The sequence below is a fragment of the Homo sapiens genome, chromosome 15 (genome assembly GCF_000001405.40).
Source record: "Homo sapiens chromosome 15, GRCh38.p14 Primary Assembly".
NCBI classification, from domain to species: domain Eukaryota; kingdom Metazoa; phylum Chordata; class Mammalia; order Primates; family Hominidae; genus Homo; species Homo sapiens.
In genome coordinates, this window is record NC_000015.10 from 22664710 (window position 1) to 22685911 (window position 21202).

At 39.3% G+C, this 21202-nt stretch overlaps 1 pseudogene across 1 annotated transcript; it reads left to right on the forward strand.

The window, feature by feature from the left end:
- On the forward strand, positions 30–20659 carry WHAMMP3 (WHAMM pseudogene 3; annotated as a pseudogene). Its single transcript, NR_003521.1, has 11 exons — positions 30–625; positions 3189–3345; positions 6748–6898; positions 7598–7756; positions 7981–8150; positions 9712–9877; positions 12096–12225; positions 13488–13674; positions 16467–16553; positions 16808–16896; positions 18963–20659. The product of NR_003521.1 is annotated as a WHAMM pseudogene 3 (transcript).
- Positions 20660–21202: the final 543 nt, after the last annotated feature.

A 21202-nucleotide genomic window follows, 5' to 3' on the forward strand; every position in this document is an offset into this window, starting at 1 on the left:
GAGGTCTGGGGCTCGGGCGGTGGGCGCTGCTGTGGCCGGCGCGCGTGGGCCCCGGCGAGGCGGCACTGCAGGAGCTTTGCGGGCAGCTGGAGCGCTACCTGGGCGCGGCGGCCCACGGCTGTGGCTGCGCCACCGTGCGCGACGCTCTCTTCGCGGCTAACGGCCGCGCGGCCGACTGCGAGAGCCCGCGCGAGTTTCGGGAGCGGGCCCTGCGCGCCTGATGGGTCGAGGCGGACGCGCGGCTGCGTCAGGTAAGCGAGGCCGGGCCGCCGGCGTTTGACCGCGCTTGGGTGGCCTGGGACCCGGTGGGAGGCTTCCCCGGCGCCGAGAGCCCTGGCTGACGGCTGATGGGGAGGAGCCGGCGGGCGGAGAAGGCCACGGGCTCCCCAGTACCCTCACCTGCGCGGGATCGCTGCGGGAAACCAGCGGGAGCTTCGGCAGGGCCTGCAGAGAGGACAAGCGAAGTTAGAGCCTAGTGTACTTGCCGCTGGGAGCTGGGCTAGGCCCCCAACCTTTGCCCTGAAGATGCTGGCAGAGCAGGATGTTGTAACGGGAAATGCCAGAAATACTGCAAGCAAAACTGAAAACAACCCATCCATGTAGGAAAGAATAACACGGACTACACGTAAGCAATTCCAAGTCTGTGTCTGCGGGGACGTCGCAAGTGGGATAAAATGGTTTAAAGGAAGAAATGGCTTTTAGGAGTTAGGGTGTTTTGTTTTAAGTAATACAGACTTGGTCAAATGGAAAGCCGGTAGAAAGTGAGCTTTATTCATCAGTTTAGAATAACCGCATTAGTGCCCTTTTAAGCTTGAAAGAGGTAGTTTGAGAGAGTAATTATTTGAGTGGTAAACTTACTGAACTTAAGGGGACGGGGAAGTACATGTTCATAGAAGGGTTTAGGAGAAAGTATGCCTTCTAAATCCACACCTACAGTTTACTAAGCAGAGCCAGGCTGGAGTCTCGGCTCACTGCTCTTATTAACCTGAATGATATTTTTCTGTGCATTCTTTTGAGGAAGGGGAGGTGAAGAGAAGAATTCAGCCTAAGCTAAATATAGAATAAGCTTTCTAAATTAAAATGGTTTTATAAAAGGAGCTTGTTAGTGGGGTCATTTTTGTACTGTGAGCTTTATGTGTAAATGTCTACACACCCACTTAACGTGTTGATTTCACTTTAGAATATGAGGAAACCACAGGGGAGTTTCAGGCCAGTCAGCTTTTCATCTTCAACTTTATAACTTTCACCTTAGGATATGAGGAACCCACAGGGGAGTTTCAAAAATGGTATCATTTTGTATCAGACTTGTTTTTTAAACACTTGGTTTCTCACAGAGATAGGTGGTTTCTCCTTAAAATCGAACATTTATATGGTGTATTTTACTGTAGTTGCTATCAGAAAAGTTAGTTTTCCCAAATTTAAGTTCACTCTGGGGTACTATAGCATGAATGTAGTTCATTCTGTTGAGCTAGCTGTTCACGTTAGTGTAGTTCACATATTTATCTGGAACTCAAAAATGAGGGGTTGAGAGGGGAAGCTAAAATTCACAACATGTCCAAATATATAATTTTAATATTTACTTTATATTTAGAATAGAAAAGCAATTGATTCTAGAATTAGACCAATTGCTAGCATTGCTAGGATATATAAAATGAAGCTGAATGTTTTAACTCTGGAATTTTTCTGAATAGTCTAAGAAAGAAGGCTGAAATGTACCACTTGCCTTTTGACTTTTGCTTGTGTGTTTTAATTTTGTTCAGTGAGGCTTTCACTTAAAAAAAATGATAATATTATTACCTGGATAAAAAATACAGCTGAAAGTAGATCACTTTAGCCTTAAGCAGAAGGATGGAAATAGAAGACTTTAAGAATGTATTGGTTGAAAAAAATCTATATTATTTGATTTTATTTCTCTTCTTGTGGGAGTAAAATAATTTCCAACCAAATCAGTCCACCTAGATTATACACTGTTCAGTTTGTTTTCTGCCCTGCAGCACAAGCAATAACCAGCAGAGACCGGAACCACAGCTGAGGCTCTGTAAATGAGTTGACTGCTAAGGACTTCATGGGAATATTAACCTGGGGCATTAAGAGAATCAACATGCTAAAGTACTTGGAGACAGCTCTGTAATGTTTTATGAGATTTTGTTTAGTTGAGTTTTGTTTTGTTTTTTGAGAGAGTCTTGTACTGTCGCCCAGGCTGGAGTGCAGTGGTGCCATCTTGGCTCACTGCAAGCTCTGCCTCCCGGGTTCACGCCATTTTCCTGCCTCAGCCTCCCCAGTAGCTGGGAGTGCAGGCGCCCGCCACCACGCCCGGCTAATTTTTTGTATTGTTAGTATAGACAGGTTTCACCGTGTTAGCCAGGATGGTCTCGTTCTCCTGACCTCGTGATGCGCCTGCTGTGGCCTCCCAAAGTGCTGGGGTTACAGGCGTGAGCCACCACGCCTGGCCCTTATGAGCTTTTAAAAAGGAATACAGCCTCACAAAACCTTTACAGTCAGAAAAGTCAAATGAAAAAATATCCACAACCTCAAACCTTCTTTTGGGTCCTTTTCGCTGCATACTTAGTGCACAGTTGAGATTAAATTTTATACTCTGCCTCTCCATTTAATTATAAAAGTCTCTTTTTTTTTTTGAAACGGAGTTTCATTCTTGTTGCCCAGGCTGGAATGCAATGGCACTGTCTCGGCTCACCGCAACCTCCGCCTCCCGGGTTCAAGCGATTCTCCTGCCTCAGCCTCCCCAGTAGCTGGGATTACAGGCGTGCGCCACCACGCCCAACTAATTTTGTATTTTTAGTACAGACAGTGTTTCTCTATGTTGGTCAGGCTGGTCTCGAAGTCCTGACCTCAAGTGATCCACCCGCCTTGGCCTCCCAAAGTGCTGGAATTACCGGCATGAGCCACCGTGCCTGGCCAAAAGTCTCCATATTATTAAACAATCTTCAGAAGCACAGTGCTGAATGACTACACTAATAATATTCTGCCATGGATATATCATAATTTTCTTAACAATTCTTGTTTTATTGGGCATTTTTGATGGAGGATGATAACATTTTCGTATTTAATCAATATTTTAAATTGATGTATTGAAAGTTGAGAACATGAAGGTTTCTTTTGTTTAGCTTTGTTTGTTGGGTATGTATTACACTGTCCTGACTTGAGCTTTATTCACATTTGCTCTCTAGGTTATTCAAGGACACCGAAAAGCCAACACCATGGTAGCATTAATGAAAGTTTACCAAGAGGAAGATGAAGCCTACCAGGAATTAGTTACCGTGGCAACCACGTTCTTCCAGTACTTACTGCAGCCATTTAGGGCTATGCGAGAAGTTGCAACTTTATGTAAGCTTGATATTTTGGTATTTTTTTAAAATTTTTATTTTATCACATTTACTATTTGTCATATATTATTTCTTTATTTACACTTAATCTTCAATCTCTGTACTTTGTTTGGGTTTGTTTGGGTTTACTCTTATGTTTATTTACTTATTTATTGATAGAGATGAGGTTTTGCCATGTTGCTCAAGCTCGTTTCTAACTCCTGAGCTCAAGCAGTCTGCCCACCTCGGCCTCCCAAAGCGTAGCATTACAGGCGTAAGCCACTATGCCTAGTTCACCCTCGTGTTTAAATATTGAATTTATATTTAAAATTGATAGAAAATGAAGACATTTATGTTGGTCATCTTAATAGCTTAAGATTCCTACAGATTTTAAAGAGTTAAATGTTTTTTCTGGCGATGAATTTTTTTTTTGTTTTTTGAGATAGGGTCTCTCTTTGTCAGCTAGGCTAGAGTGCAGTGGCACAATCTTGGCTCACTGCAACCTCCTCCAGGTTCAAGTGACTCTTCTGCCTCAGCCTCCTGAGTAGCTGGGATTACAGGTGTGCACTACCATGCCCAGCTAACTTTTTTTGTATTTTTAGTAGAGACGGGGTTTCACCATGTTGGCCAGACTGGTCTCGAACTCCTGGCCTCAAGTGAGCCACCCGTCTCAGCCTCCCAAAGTGCTGGGATTACAAGCGTGAGCCACTGCGCCCAGCCTGATGAATTGTTTTTGATGTGATGTTTATTTGCTTCAGTTGTTTTCCTCTAAGGACTCATGCAGATTTCTTAAAATAGGATGAAAATTTAAATAGCAGGACCCTAGATTGTAATTCAGTAACTTAAATTTTAGTAAATACAGTTATCGCTCTTGCTTCATTGAGCCATCAAACATCCTTGTGACACCATTCAGGAAAGGCATTCTTATTCCAGTGTTACAAATGAATCTAGAGTCCAGAGTTGTTAAATAGCTTGCCTTGGGTCTCAACAACGGGAATCAGAAGACACCTAAGAGATCTCTTGATTTCTGCCCCCTGCACTGGGCCATCTTTCCACATATAATCTCATGCCCCTGCCAGATGATTGTACTATAAAAATAGTATCACATTTAGATGAAACTCATGCCACTCTAACCTGTGGATAAAGTTGTTCTGTTCATTATTTTGAAAGTCTATTATTTGGAGAGTCTACTTCTTGCATATATTTTGCTTTCTTCTTTTTTTTTTTTTTTTTTTGAGATGGAGTTTCGCTCTTGTTGCCCAGGCTGGAGTGCAATGGCGTGATCTTGGCTCACGGCAACCTCCACCTCCTGGATTCAAGCGATTCTTCTGCCTCAGCCTCCCGAGTAGCTGGGATTACAGGCATGTGCCACCATGTCCAGCCCGGCTAATTTTGTATTTTTTTAGTAGAGACGGGGTTTCTTCATGTTGGTCAGGCTGGTCTCGAACTCCTGACCTCAGGTGATCTGCCTGCCTCAGGCTCCCATTGTGCTGGGATTACAGGCATGAGCCACCGCACCCAGTCTATAATTTTCCTTTCTTTAAGTAACAGCTGTTTTAAAATACCATTCACAGACTATATATATATATATATAATCTGTATATATATATGTATACATATATATGTATGTATGTATGCATGTATATGTACATACATATATGTATATATGTATGTGTATATATGTATACATATATATAATCTGTATAATATATGTATATATGTATATGTGTATATGTGTATATATACGTATATATATATGTATATATGTGTATATGTATATGTACACATATATACATATATATATACGTATATACGTATATATATGCATATATATATATAAAATATATCTACATATATAAAAAGATGTACAATTCAGTGATTTTTAGTATATTGAAAGTTGCACAATGATCATTACTATGTAATTTCAGGACATTTTCACCCCCAAAAGAAACCCTGTACCCATTAGTCACTGCCAGCCCTGGGCAACCACCAATCTACTTTCTGTCTCTGTGGATTTCCCTACTCTGGACATAGCAACAGCATTATTGAATATGTGGTCCTTTCACTCAGCACAATGTTTGCAAGGCTAATCCATGTTGTAGCAAATACCAGGATTTCATTTCTTTTTATTGCTCAGTGATATTCATTGTATGGATATATTGCATTTTTTTCATCAGTTGATGGACATTTGGGTTGTTTCCACTTTTTGGCTATCATGAATAATTCTGCTATGAATGCTTGTGTGTGAGTTTTTGTGTAGACATATCTTTTCATTGCTCTTGTGTACGTACTGAGGAGTAGGATTGCTGGGTCCTGTGATTACCCAGTGTTTAACCTTTTGAAAGACGCCAGATGGTTTTCCAAAGTGGGTGCATCATTTATATTCCCAGAAGAAGTAAATGAGGGTTCCAATTTGTCCACATTATCACCAACACTTGTAATTGTGTGTCTCTTTGGTTACAGCCATCCTAGTGGGTGTGAAGTGGTATCTCGTTATGGTTTTGATTTGTAATTCCTTGTCGGCTAACTTGTACATATTTCTTATGCTTTGTAGAAGAAAAATTGCATATTGGATGACATAGCTGTACATGTCTTAGTTCAGGCTGTTGTAACAAAGTACTGTAGATTAGTGGCTTATAAACAACAAAACTTTTTTTCTCACAGTTCTGGAGGCTGGGTAGTCTAAGATCAAGGTGCTGGCAGATCCAGTGTCTTGTGAGGGCCAGTTTCTTAATTTGTAGATGACTGTCTTGCTGTGTCTTCACATGGTGAAGAGCAGAGAGAGAGATCCTGTGTCTCCTCTTCTTTTTATAAGGGCATTAATCCCAATTTTCTTGAGGTCTCCACCCTCATGACCTAATTACCTCCCAAAGGCCCCATCTTCAAATCCCATCACACTGGGGATTTAGGCTTCAACATATGCATTTTGGGGGGACCCAAACATTCAGTCCAATACCAGTACATGTTATAAGCATGAATATACAGATACTGTCTTTTAGGTGATAATATTACATATCCCTAAAAGAAATGATAACAACAGCTAACACTTAAGTGCTGTTTTCCAGGCCCTGTGCTGAGTGTTTGACAACACAGATCACTCATTTAAACAATTGTGTATTATTATTAATAGAGAGAAGCATAAGTTGACAACATTCCTCTCTAGAAAAAGTTATTCTAGGCATGTGAAGTGAAAGTAGTTTTTTTTCCCCCCACTTTATGCCCCAGAGGGTCCTTTTGTCTTCCAGGTGGTGCTCAGCTTAGAGCCTTATTCATGTGCAGTAAGGGACTGCTGAATGAATGAAAATTTAACTGACTGAGTAGTAGTGTAGTTAAATTAATCCATGTGACCAATTTCCTTTCAATTTCCTAATGGTTCTACATAACTATTAGCTCTTACTAAGATAATTTTCCCTTCTGTCTGTAGAAGTCCTTGGATGAGGATGACCTAGGTCCTAGAAGGGTAGTTGCCCTGGAGAAAGAAGCTGAAGAATGGACCAGACGGGCTGGAGAAGCTGTCGTCTCTATTCAAGATATCACAGTGAATTATTTTAAGGAGACAGTAAAAGCATTAGCAGGTGATAATCTAAAAAATGCTATACGCAGATACGTGTAATTGATTGTCATTTTATTCAAATACCATTTGAGTCCCTCTTACGCACTAGGCACTGTGTTTTCTAGGTGGCGAGAATTCAGTGTCAAACATTAAGAGACATTGTACAGTCTGGTGAAGGGAGAGAAATCTTAATTATCTATTCACTGAAGCACACAGAAAATGGCAGTGACAATAAATGGCACAAAGAAGAGAGACATGGGGCTCTGAGGGTCTGTGAGAGAGAAATTGGGCTTGATCAGGGTGGTCACTGAAGGCCTCTGAGAAGTGGCGCTTGCCCCAATATCTGAAGGGTAAATGGAAATTGAGAGAATAGAAAAAGTGAGGAGTGTTCTGGGCGGAAGGAATAGCACTGGCGAAGGTCCCCTGGCTTGAGGGAAGTTGGCAAATAGGAGCTTACAGAAAACCTGCGGGGCTGGATCGCAGAGAGTGCAGGACAATGTGGTATGAGGGAGAATGCTGGCAAGACAGGCAGGGATCAGACCGTGCAGGGGCTTGCGGGCTGGGTGAAGGACTTTTTTTCAGTCTTAAATAATTGTTGATAAAAACACCAAATAGGAAACAACTTAATGTCTGTCAGTTTGTTAAGTTATGGTACATTCATAAAAGAGAAAACTACATAGCTATTAAGCATGATTCTTGATTTTTTTTTTATAAATGGCAGGAGTTTCTGATATATTGCACAGAATCAACAAGATATAAAGCAGAATGATGATCCTGGTTTTTTGGTCAAACTATCCATATGAGCCTGTCTGTCTAGCTAGTCATAGAAACAATATGGAAGCAAGTGTGCCAAAATATAAGAAGCACTTGCCTCAACTAGGTGAGATCATGACTTATTATTGTCCTTTTAAAAATTGAATACCTAAAATTGTATATTAATGACCATGTATTATTTTTATAATAATAAAAAATTAATAAAACAAAATTTCTTTTAAAAAAGATGTTCTGCAGGTAGTATGGAGGCAATAAAAAAAGAATTAGCTCATGATCAATGTTTCCCTTTTTAATGAGGTGTAATTATATTTTATTTTTATAATCTAACAGGAATGCAGAAAGAAATGGAACAGGATGTGAAGAGATTTGGCCAGGCTGCCTGGGCCACAGCAATTCCCAGGTTGGAAAAACTTAAGCTAATGCTAGCTCAAGAGACTCTGCAACTCATGAGAGCGAAAGAGTTATGTTTAAATCACAAAAGAGCTGAAATTCAGGGAAAGGTAAGACAAAGATAAACATAACTTTGTTTTAAAAATACACTTGTATTTATTTTTTATTTTATTTTATTTTTTTTGAGACAGAGTCTCGCTCTTTTGCCTAGGCCGGACTGCAGTGGCACGATCTCGGCTCATTGCAAGCTCCGCCTCCTGGGTTCATGCCATTCTCCTGCCTCAGCCTCCCAAGTAGCTGGGGCTACAGGTGCCCGCCACCGCGCCCAGCTAATTTTTTGTATTTTTAGTAGAGACGGGGTTTCACCGTGTTAGCCAGGATGGTCTCGATCTCCTGACCTCGTGATCCGCCCACCTTGGCCTCCGAAAGTGCTGGGATTACAGGCGTGAGCCACCGTGCCCCGCGCCACTTTTATTTTTTAAAAATTTTGTATAAATAAAGGATACAAGTGCAGTTTTGTTCCATGGATATATTGTGTAGTGGTGAAGTTTGGGCTTTTAGCGTAATCATCACCTACATAATGTAATTGTACCCATTAAATATTTCTCATCCCCCCTCCCACCCTCTTACTCTTCTGAGTCTCCAGTGTCTGTTATTCCACACTGTCTGTGTATACACTACTTAGCTCCCACTTATAAGTGAGACCATGTGGTAAAGCACACTTGTATTTTTAGATAGCACTTTTCTTTCCAGGCATTGTTAAAGAGCTGCTTTTCTTCACTTATTCCAACACCATCTCCTATGGAAGGTTAGACATAAAGTTTTCCTTTGGTTAAGATGTTTCAAAATACCACACTGTAGGATTCACTTTATAGTAACACCAAGCCCAGTATTGAAGTGGGTACTGTACTTGAAAATCAATCCAGCAATGTTTTCAGTACAGCTTTAAAATAATCAAAGAGATACTTCCCTGAAGGATCTTAGACACTTAAGTTTTTTCCTATAATCTTATGACTTTAAAGCAGAAAACACTGTAAACACCTGTCTTAGTTGGCTAAGGCTGCTGTAACAATATTAAATGTCACAGATTGGGTGGCTTCAACAATGGACATGTATTTCTCACAGTTCTGGAGGCTGGGAAGTCCAAGATCAAGGTGCCTGCAGATTCACTGTCTGGTGCGGATCCTCTTCCTGTCTAGTAGACAGCTGCCTTCTTAACTGAGTGCTCACATAGCCTTTCTTCTGTGTGTATGTTTGGAGAGAAAGAAAGTGATCCCTGTCTTTCTCTTCTAATAAGGGCACTAATCCCATGATGGGGGTGCTATCCTTTTGACATAATCTGAACCTAATTACTTCCAAAGGACCCACCTCCAAATAACATCACATTGGGAGTTACAGTGTCAACATATGAATTTTGGGGGGACACCGATATGCAATACATAATAATACCTCATTGCCATTTATGTTTCTCAAAACCTAAATGTTTTTCTCTGTTTCAAGGATGGGATAAAGTATTAGCATCACTAGATGAAATGAAAAAGTGTTTCTTTCCTATTTGCTCTTTTATATTTAGTACGGAACAAGGAATAGAAAATAGCTAGAATGCTTCTAAAGTTTGTTTTTAATATACTATTTGTTTTAACTTATTTTTCTTTTTTCTATGAAAATAAGATGGAAGATCTTCCAGAACAAGAAAAAAATATAAATGTTGTAGATGAATTAGCAATACAATTTTATGAAATTCAGTTAGAACTATATGAAGTTAAATTTGAGATATTAAAAAACAAAGAAATACTGCTTACTACACAGTTGGACTCTCTTGAAAGACTTATAAAAGGTAAAGTTTTTATTTAAGTATATAGATTACAATGTTTATAAATTTAAGGAAATACAGACCATATTATCAATTACTTTTTGTAAACTGTAACATCTGAAAATTTCCTAAAGTTTTCCTTCAGTGGTTTATTATTCAAATAATATATTCATTGTTAGCACATAGCAAAACAAAGAAAGAAAAATGATTATTACCCCAATCCCATCATCTAGAGATGCTCAATGGTTGGCTGGGCACAGTGGCTCAGGCCTATAATCCCAGCACTTTGGGAGGCTGAGGCGGGCAGATCACTTGAGGTCAGGAGTTCCAGACCAGTCTGACCAACATGGTGAAACCCCGTCTCTACTAAAAATACAAAAATACTAAACCCTGTTTCTACTAAAAATACAAAGTCCAATGTGGTGGCACGTGCCTGTAATCCCAGCTACTTGGGAGGCTGAGGCAGGAGAATGGCTTGAACCCATGAGGTGGAAGTTTCAGTGAGCCAAGATCGTGCCACTGCACTCCAGCCTAGAAGACAGAGCGAGACTCCATCTAAAAAAGAAAAAAAAAAAGACAGATACTTAGTGGTAACAATTTGCTGTATAACTTTGTAGATTTCAAAATATGCTGATATGTAAAAATATAAATTTTTAACCAAAACTACATAACCAGTTCAGTAACATCTTTTTTAAAATTTTTTAATGTTTAGGGGTGCATAGCAGATATATATATTTATGGGTTACATGAGATATTTTGACACAGGCATACAATGCATAATAGTCTCTTTTTCATTTAATACATAATAATTGTCTTTCTGTTTCAGAAATAATAAAAGTATCAAAATTTTAATGGCTGCATAGTATTCCATTATATGGATATACCGTGATTTCCAAATTTCCGCTGTTTTGAACAGTAGTGTAGTGAACTTTCCTTTACACATGTCTTTGAGTATAGGACAGATTATCTCCTTGGAATAAATATCTAAGGATGGAATTATTGGGTCAAGGGCAATGTATATTTTACATTTTGCTATGTAACAATACAGCAGTCATCTGAGATACATTTTTCCTCACCTCTGTATTATTTTCTGATTTCTAAATTTCATACTATGTAGTGGCCCTCTAGATAGGTCGTACATTTAAAATGACGCTCCCAGGCTGGGCGTGGTGGCTCACGCCTGTAATCTCAGCACTTTGGGAGGCTGAGTGGGGGCAGATCACTTGAGGTCAGGAGTTCAAGACCAGCTTGGCCAACGTGGTGAAACCCTGTCTCTACTAAAAATACAAAAATTAGCCGGGCGTGGTGGTGGGTGCCTGCAATCCCAGCTACCTGGGAGACTGAGGCGGGAGAATCGCTTGAACCTGGGAGGTTGAGATTGCAGTGAGCTGAGATGGCACCACTGCACTCCAGCCTGGGCGACAGAGTAAGACTCTGTCTCAAAAAAAAAAGAAAAGAAAAAAGACGCTCCCATCAGCAGAATATGAGTGTGTATGTTTCCCAGACTCATGCCATTCTTTTGCATTTTTGCTTACTTGACAGAGAAAATGGCAGTCTTCCAATTTTCATTTATTTAATTATGAGTGATTATTGAACAAAATTTTGTATGTTTACAAGCCATTTGTACTTATTTTATGAAATGCCTATTCATAGTCTTTGTCCATTTTTCTTTGGAATATTTCCTTTCAACATTAAGAATAATGTCCTCTATTGTCTGTCATATGTTGCAAATAATCTCTCCTTGTCATTTGCGTTTTCTTGCCTTTCAGAAATATTTAAGTTTTATGAAGTCGTGTTTATCGATTTTTTTCCCCTATGGCTTCTGCTTTTAGTATTATGTCTGGCAATAGTCTCCTATCCCAAAATTATGTCAATATATACTTATGTTTTCTTTCAGTATGTTTATGATGTTATTTTTTAAAACATTTAATTCTTTAGTCCAGGTGGAATTTATTTTGATTGTGGTAGGAATTGAACCTTTCCCTCAAATTGTTAAACAGTCCCAATCACTGATTTTAAAAACATTTTCCCTAAATGTTTAACATTTCTCCAGTTAAACATTAGATTGACTTTGGTCTGTTTCTGAGTTGTTCTCCTCCATTGGTTCGTGAGTGGCTTCTGCTACTGGCTCCATACTGTTCCCACAACTGTCTTGGAGGCACATTTTAGGGTCTGGTAAGGCAAGTACCCCCCACATTACTTCACAAGTTTTCTGACTATTTTCACTCCTTTATTCTTTCAGATGAAATTTAGAATCAAGTTCAAAACAAAAAACTCTTTGGAATTTTGATTGTGATTTTGCTTAAAATTAGAGATTACTTTGGGGAGAATAGTGGTCTTTGCAATTTTGAATCTTCCTACCCAAGAACATGGTATGTCTCTCTCCATTTATTTAAATCTTTTTTCCTAAAGTTCCTCCAAGTTTAATAAATTTCTTCACATAGATCCTGAACTTTTAGTTTAATCCTGAGTATTCAGAATTTTTTTCAGTAGTTTCAGGTTATAAGCATTTTACATATTTAGGAAAAAAATTACATTAAAAAAGAAGTTAATCTGGAAGGATGCATGCCAAATTGTTCATAATGTTTTTCCTCTGAGAATGACTCAGAAGGTTTGGGGAAGGAGCAATAGAATTTCACTGTTTATTTGATGTACTTCGGGTGGGTTTGAATTTGTTACAGTAAGCATGACTTTTAAAAAATCAATATGTAATCAAGATTAAATATCACTAAGGCATCTTAATAATATATTGCTGGTAGAATATAAGTTGCCTTTCTGGAGGGCAGTGTGGCAATGGGTATCAAGATCCTTAAACACTTATCTGCTAAGGAAGTGATAAAAAGCATACACAAAGATTTATACAGAGATGTTCATCACAGTGAAATGAATAATAATGGAACATTGGAACAGCCTAACAACATGGATTGCTTAAATTAGAGAATACTATGCTGCCATTAAAATTTATCTTTTTTAAATTTTTTTTTGTTTTTGGAGATGGAGTCTTGCTCTGTTGCCCAGGCTGGAGTGCAGTGGCACGATCTCGGCTCACTGCAACTTCTGCCTCCCAGGTTCATGCTGTTCTCCTGCCTCAGCCTCCTGAGTAGCTGGGATTACAGGCACACGCCACTGTGCCCAACTAGTTTTGTATTTTTAGTAGAGATGGGGTTTTGCCATGTTGGCCAGGCTGGTCTTGAACTCCTGACCTCAGGTGTGCAGCCTGCCTTGGCCTCCCAAAGTGCTGGGATTACAGGCGTGAGCCACCGCACCTGGCCTAAAAATTTATTTCCATCCCATGGAAAGTGTTCTTTTAGAACTCCATTGATACGTGTAGCTATGTAAGTAGTATGTGTGTGTGTGTGCATGTGTATATATACATATGTCTATACAGGTATATATACATGCATATACTACTTACATGTATATACACACATGCTACTTACATACATGTGTATAGTCATGTATATATACACATGTGTATATGTATATTACATTTATACACAGATTTTTTATATGTTAATAGTGATTCTCAGTGGTGGGATTACAAGTGATCTTTATTTTCCTTACATTTAAAAAAATTCAATGTATTTTTACAAATAATAAAATATGTTTTAAACAATCATTAATACCTTTTTAGAAAAACAGGATGAAGTTGTCTATTACGATCCATGTGAAAGTCCAGAGGAACTTAGTCATTGACTGTGGTGGGGCTGCAGGACGATAAGAATTCGGAAGTGAAAGAACTCAGAAGGCAGTGCCAGCAGCTGGAGTCTATTAAACGGGGCAGGATCTGTGTCAAAAGAGCTTCTCTCCAGAGTAGAAAGGTGGGTACGCTCAGAGCGGCTTTCTTTTCTTTTCTCTTCCAGAGATTTATTCTTGTATGAAGGATAAAGAGGTATTGAAATAAGGTTTTTACCAACACAGTGATTAATTTTTTGTGTGCTTATGAACTTATCCATGGCTATAGTTAAAATGATTTTTAATATTTTTCTTAAAAATATTATTTTTTTCTTTTGGGTTTTAAGCATTTAGCAAATCTCAAGGTTTTAATTTATTCATTCAACAACTATTTGTTGAATTCCCACTGCATACACAGGCACTTTATTTTTATTTTTTTTGAGACAGAGTCTTGCTCTGTCACCCAGGCTGGAGTGCGGAGGCATGATCTTGGCTCACTACAACTTCTGCCTCCTAGGTTCAAGCAATTCTCGTGCCTTAGCCTGCCAAGTAGCTGGGTTTACAGGCACGTGCCACCACGCCCAGCTAATTTTTGTATATTTTGTAGAGACGGGGTTTCGCCATGTCGGCTAGGCTCGTCTTGAACTCCTGACCTCAAGTGATCCGCCCACCTTGGCCTCCCAAAGTCCTGGGATTACAGGTGTGAGCCACCACCCCCGGACCACAGGTACTTTAAAAACCACAATAGGTAGAAACTCTATTTCTAATAACCAGCTATAATAATTCTAAATATATTTTAGTACACAAAACAATTACAGATAACAATATTCAGCTCACCTCAGACCTTGTATTTGGTGATTTTTTTCTTAATTTTTAAAAATCCATGAATACATAAAAAGATAACACTAAGAAATTTAATTTTTTCTGACAGAAAAGGAAGCTTCTATATATCATTTTTATACAGACTTTTATGTGTATTTACTCATATTTACTATACTTTTCTCCCTTTTTTTTTTTTGATGCGCAGTCTTGCTCTGTCTCCCAGGCTGGAGTGCAGTGGCGTGATCTCGGTTCACTGCAACCTCCACCTCCCAGGTTCAAGTGAATCTGCTGCCTCAGCCTCCTGCGTAGCTGGGATTACAGGTGCCTGCCACCAAGCCTGGCTAATTTTTGTATTTTTAGTAGAGATGGGGTTTCACCATGTTGGTCAGACTAGCCTTGAATTCCTGACCTCGAGCAATCCACCTGCCTCAGCCTCCCAAAGTGCTGGGATTACAGGCGTGAGCCACTGTGCCGAGCCTACTATACTTTTCTTGTTAGAATTAAGAAAACATGAAAATTGTGACTTTCGTAGCTTACAAAAATGTTAATTACTCTTCCATGTAAATACAAATACTTAAAAAAAACTTGGCTAGGTGCTGTGGCTTATGCCTGTAATCCCAGCACTTTGGGAGGTTGAGGTGGGAGAATCACTTAAGGCCAGAAGTTCGAGACCAGGGACAACACAGGGAGACCTCATCTCTGTGGTGCGCATGTATAGTCCCAGCTACTCAAGAGGCTGAGGCAGGAGGATTGCTTGAGGCCAGGAGGTTGAGGCCTCAGTGAGCTGTGATTGTACCACTGCACTCCAGCTAGGGTGATAGAACAAAACCCTGTCTCTAATAAAAATTAAAAATAAAAAAATTTGTTAGAAGAGTATATTCTTTGCATGTTCATGTTTAAGAATTGTACTTCTGGATTTAGGAACTGTTATTCAGAGGATTTGAAGATCTACAGGCATTTGCCCTTTGCTCCACATTTCAGAAAACCCATGAGCCCCAAGAGGAGTCTCCTTTGGCACTCCCATGGTGCTGTGGATGAACAGATGCCTCCACCTCCTTGGCAGTGTTATATGTATATGTATATAAAATGCTCCTGTGCCTTCTCTTATCCAGACTTGGAGCATTAACCTTCACTCTCAAGATATAATCACTCCCCCTACCCCATTTAGAGGAGCTCTTTCCACTGATTCTGGAAATGTTGGAATTTGGAAGGCACTCGGTTAATAGAATGGTAGTTGAGGTGAGCTCTCAACTTGGGTTCAGATCGCAGTCTGGCCACTTAGGTAGTAGTCATGTGACATTAGGCAAATTACTTAAATCTCTTTTGGGCTCACAGTTTTCTCCTCTGTTAAAAGAGGATGATAGATCAGGCACGGCACCCGTAATCCCAGCTACTTGGGAGGCTGAGGCAGGAGAATCGCTTGAACCCAGGAGGCGGAAGTTGCAGTGAGCCGAGATCATGCCATTACACTCCTCCAGCCTGGGCAACAAGAGCAAAACTCAGTCTCAAAAAAAAAAGATAGTGGTAATAATACAAATTTCATGTGACGATAGAGTAGCATAAGGCATGAAAAGTACTTATCATTGAAGCTAAAACCTACTCAATAAATGTTAGTATTATCTGTGAGTATTACTGTATTATTTTTTACATAGATTAAGGATTTTATGTACATATAGCATATTATATATTGGTATAGTGAGTGGTTAAGCACAGGTGAAACACAGTTATAACAATTTTTCAGTTGCTCTGCGTTTGTAGGTATGCTTGGAAATGTAATTAGTATTTATAATGTTATGGGGAAATGTGTTTAAAACAATCACATTAAAACATTGTTGGGACACATCCCATTTAAGAATGGGGGCTGCCTGTGTGTCCTCTCATGGTTGGCGGATTGTTTTCACCTCTTAAAGCACTCTGCTGGGAATAAATTATTTCCATAAGCAGCCAGGCAACTCTCATCATAGACTGTGGAGGAGAGTACCATTGGGCCGCACCAGAACTAATATTAATGAATGCCTTACACTACGCCCAAATGCAGTGCTTTCTTCTTTTAACCTTTTATGCTATACCAGGGTAACACTAAAAACCATGTAGGTGATTTGTATTATTCCACCAGGATCAGTGCGAAGAAAATCATTGGCTCAGATTGCAACAGGCTGAAGAAAGCATAAGATATTCTCGTCAGCATCACAGTATTCAGATGGTGAGTGTCCTCCGAAGGAAAATGTTCTATGTTTGTGTAGCGTGACATGCAGGCCTAGACTTGTGGAAACTGGAGTTGCGCTGCCCTGGACCTGCAGCTGTCAGCCAATTCACCTCCAGGCCTGCAGTCTGGTTGCAGTCTTGGGGTGGTAATGTTGGGGTACAGCCTCTTTCTTTGTCAAGACATTTTTATTGTATGCCACGACATTTTTGTAATGTTGAGCAATTTACAAATATACATCTGCTTAAATATAGAAAAGAGACAAGATAAAAAGGAGCAAAAGAAAAAAGAATGGATCAACCAAGAACGTCAAACACTCCAACAATTGAGAGCATTTAAAGATGTAAGTTTTATAAACAATCACCTCATCTACACTTCTGGGGAAATAAATGAAGACCGCTCTAAAGAGGAAAGTATTAAGAACAGGTCATTCAGAACATGTAACATTTAAAAAATAACATTATTTCTGGTATATCAATAAAAAGCAACAACAAAAATAGAATATCAGTGATTCAAAACCCATGATATAAAATAACTGCTGTTTTTGACATCACAACACGCTTGGGTTCCTGCTCTGCACTCTTCACTGAGTAGTCCTTACTGGCACTGGTGGTTTAGATTGGCAGGGAAAACTGAAAACTGTTCAACTCCCTTGACTTTAGCTGGCATTTCCTCTCATTTGTAATAAACAATTCTTTAAAATGTTATCCAGGCAGCATTGTGATATAAGTGTAGTGAAAGTGCCCAGTTAAAAGTAAAATGTGTTGTTTTTTTTTTTGATATCTACAACTTTCTTTTTTCTTTTAAAGTATATACTTAAGAGGATGATGTTATTTTTTTATGCCCTCTGTTCCAGGCCTACATTTGTATTTCCTCCACAAAATGATCCTCAGTCTGTAATTTTTGTTCTATTTGACTTTATTATTAGAGATAAATTCCTTTAATTAAAAAAAAGCTACTATGAAGGTTGAAAAAATAATTTTTTGGTTTTTTTTAATTGACACATAATTGTACATATTTATGAGGTATAGTGTGATATTTTGAGGTGTATAATATGGAATGATCAAATCAGGGTAATTAGCGTATCTATCACCTCAAACATTTATCTAAAGGTAAATAGGTTTTTTAAAATAATGTAAATAGGGAGTCCGGCACAGTGGCTCATGCCTATAATCCCAGCACTTTGGGAGGCTGAGGCGGGTGGATTGCTTGAGACCATGAATTTGAGACCAGGCTGGGCAACATGGTGAAACCCCAGCTCTCCTAAAAATACAAAAATTAGCTGGACATGGTGGTGCATGCCTGTAGTCCCAGCTACTTGGGAGGAAAAATACCAATTGTGCACATATTTTTGTAAAATTATACATAAACGCTTTATTTTTTATGTCATTCTAAATAATTTTTTGTATGTTTCTATTTCCAAACGTTGTTTGGTAATATATAGAAATATGATTGATTTTGTTTATTGAGTTTGCATATAACCACATTACTAAACTCGCATATTGAGAATTTTAATAGGTTATTTTGAATACTTTTACATAGACTGTTGTCTGAAAATAGAAACAGGTTTATTTCTTCCTTTCTGATGTGGATGTCACTGATTTTTTTCCCTACATTACTGATCTGGCTAGGACTATCAGTATAAAGTTGAATATAAGTGGTAAAAGAGCTGACTTCTTGCCTTGGACCCAGTTTTTAAATCAGTTGGAGAGTCACCATTAAGTGTAATTTAGTGGTAGTTTTGTTTGTTTTTTTTTTTGTTTGTTTTGTAGATGCCCTCTATCAGGATAAGTTCCCTTTTCTCATTTTGTTGAGAGTTTTTATAAAGAATAGCTATTGAATTTTGTCAAATGCTTTTTTTTTTTTTTTTTTTTTTTTTTTTTGAGACGGAGTCTCGTTCTGTCGCCCAGGCGGGAGTGCTGTGGCGCGATCTCCGCTCACTGCAAGCTCCGCCTTCCGGGTTCACGCCATTCTCCTGCCTCAGCCTCCCGAGTAGCTGGGACTACAGGCGCCCGCCACTGCGCCCGGCTAATTTTTTGTATTTTTAGTAGAGATGGGGTTTCACCGTGGTCTCGATCTCCTGACCTCGTGATCCGCCCGCCTCGGCCTCCCAAAGTGCTGGGATTACAGGCGTGAGCCACCGCGCCCGGCCGAATTTTGTCAAATGCTTTTGCTGCATCTGCTGAAATGACACGTTTATTCTTCATCTACCTAATAATGTTGCAATTTATATCTGTTGAGCTTTGAATGTTGAACCAGCCTTGCATTCATGGTATAAATCACTTGTTTGTAAAGTATTGTTTTTAAATATTGCCAGATTTGATATCTTAGTATTGTATTTTTATATTTGTCTTCATGTGTTTTTGTTTTCTCATAAGTGTCTGTACCCCCCTTTTTTTTTCTTTAAAGAGAAATAATGAGAGAGATTGTCTGTCTTGAAGTTCTCAGTGCCTGTGCATTGCTGCCACTACACAGCTAGTATCATGACAGCAGCTTCAGAACCAGAGCTGGCTTCCAGGCAAGGCTGGGTGGGGAAGAAAGAGAAAAACAAAAGAATTATTTCTCTATGCCGAGACCAGCTCGGTCAGGGAGACCCTAACCTAGCGGTGCTAGAGGAATTAAAGACATAGACACAGAAATATAGAGGTGTGAAGTGGGAAATCAGGGGTCTCACAGCCTTCAGAGCTCAGCCACGAACAGAGATTTACCCACGTATTTATTAACAGCAAGCCAGTCATTAGCATTGTTTCTATAGATATTAAATTAACTAAACGTATCCCTTATGGGAAACGAAGGGAGGGGCCGAATTAAAGGAATAGGTTGGGCTAGTTAACTGCAGCAGGAGCATGTCCTTAAGGCACAGATCGCTCATGCTATTGTTTGTGGCTTAAGAATGCCTTTAAGCGGTTTTCCACCCCGGGCAGGCCAGGTGTTCCTTGCCCTCATTCCAGTAAACCCACAACCTTCCAGCATGGGTGTTAGGGCCATTATGAACATGTTACAGTGCTGCAGAGATTTTATTTATGGCCAGTTTATGGCCAGATTTTGGGGGGCCTGCTCCCAACACTCTACATATGCTCCATCTTGCAGAGGCTTCATTCTTGGTTCTCTAGCTAAAAACAGTAGAAATTTTGCACACCTGGGTTAGAAAAAAAAATAGCCATTAAACCCACCCCTGTTACAGGTCACTATTGGTATTTTGATTTTGCCTTCAATCCATCTGTTATTGTTTACTTTTAAGAGTCCTTGATAGTTGCTTTTTATGTCCAGAGTTTTAATTTCAGTCAGAAAGAGAAATAGGCCTTGGTGAGCATGCTTTGTCTTGGCTGGTGCCAGAAGTCTGTACTCAAATATTTTTAAAATAATTTTTAGTTGAATAACAAGTTAGACCTGTGTTTAGCTTTCTCATTGTTTTCCTAAAAATAGAAGAAAAGGTTTTAAATACTTTAACCACGAAATACTTTAAAGCAGGTTTAAAATAAACTCCTTCATTTTGCCTGTTCTATTACTCTGTTCTCACACTGCTAATAAAGACATACCCAAGACTGGTAATTTATAAAGTAAAGAGGTTTAATTGACTCACAGTTCCACATGGCTGGGGAGGCCTCCCAATCATGGCAGAAGGTGAATGAGGAGCAAAGTCACATCTTTGTGGCAGGCAAGAGAGAGAGCATGTGTGCAGGGGAATTCCCCTTTATAAAACCGTCCAATCTCATGAGACTTATGCACTCTCATGGGAGCAGCATGAGAAAGACTCACCTCCGTGATTCAGTTACCTCCCACTGTGTCCCTGCCACAACATGTGGGAATTGTGGGAGCTAAAAATCAAGATGAGATTTGGGTAGGAACACAGTCAAACCATATCTCCTGTATACATTCACACTAGCATTTTAGTTTTAGAACTAGTTCTATGTTACTATCTGAATTAATTTTTCCACAATTTTGTAAGGAAAAATAATGCGTTCTTTGAATTTCATGTGTAAATGATATTTTTAGTTTTGTGTCATTTTGTCCAATAAATTCTGAAAATCTTTGTATTGACAGTGTGTTATCTCTGCATAACCATATATGTATAAGAGCGCTCAATAAAAAGAATAAAGAGGAAAAAGCACTGGATCTATACCTATACAAAACAAGCTACCAGCAGAGCCCACTGGGAGTGGTCATGATATAATCAGGAATGTTATATTCACACGTTGTAGATCTGCATATGAGAGGAGGGTTTGCAGATAGCAGATTCTAGAAAAGTTGTCTAATCAGACAGTAAATGAAGGTGTTGAAGCACTGAACAAAAATAAGTTGCTTTAATTACTCATAAGAGGGAAGTACAAGTCATTATTCCATCTGCCAATTTACAGACTGTAAGATACCCTTTAAAAGTAGCAGTAAGTAAACTCTTCATAAAAGTTAGACTGTATGACAAATCCACTGCCTTTCTTCTTTTGCAGCAGGGCCTTTCTTTTTAATTACTATTTTTTGTTTTTGGAGATGAAGTCTCTGTCACCCAGGCTGGAGTTCAGTGGCCTGATTGATCACTGCAGCCTCGACCTCCAGCTCACATAATCCTCCTGCTTCAGCCTCCTGAGTAGCTGGGACTACGGGTGTGTGCCACCATGCCTGGCTTTTTTAAAAAAAAATTTTGTGGAGTT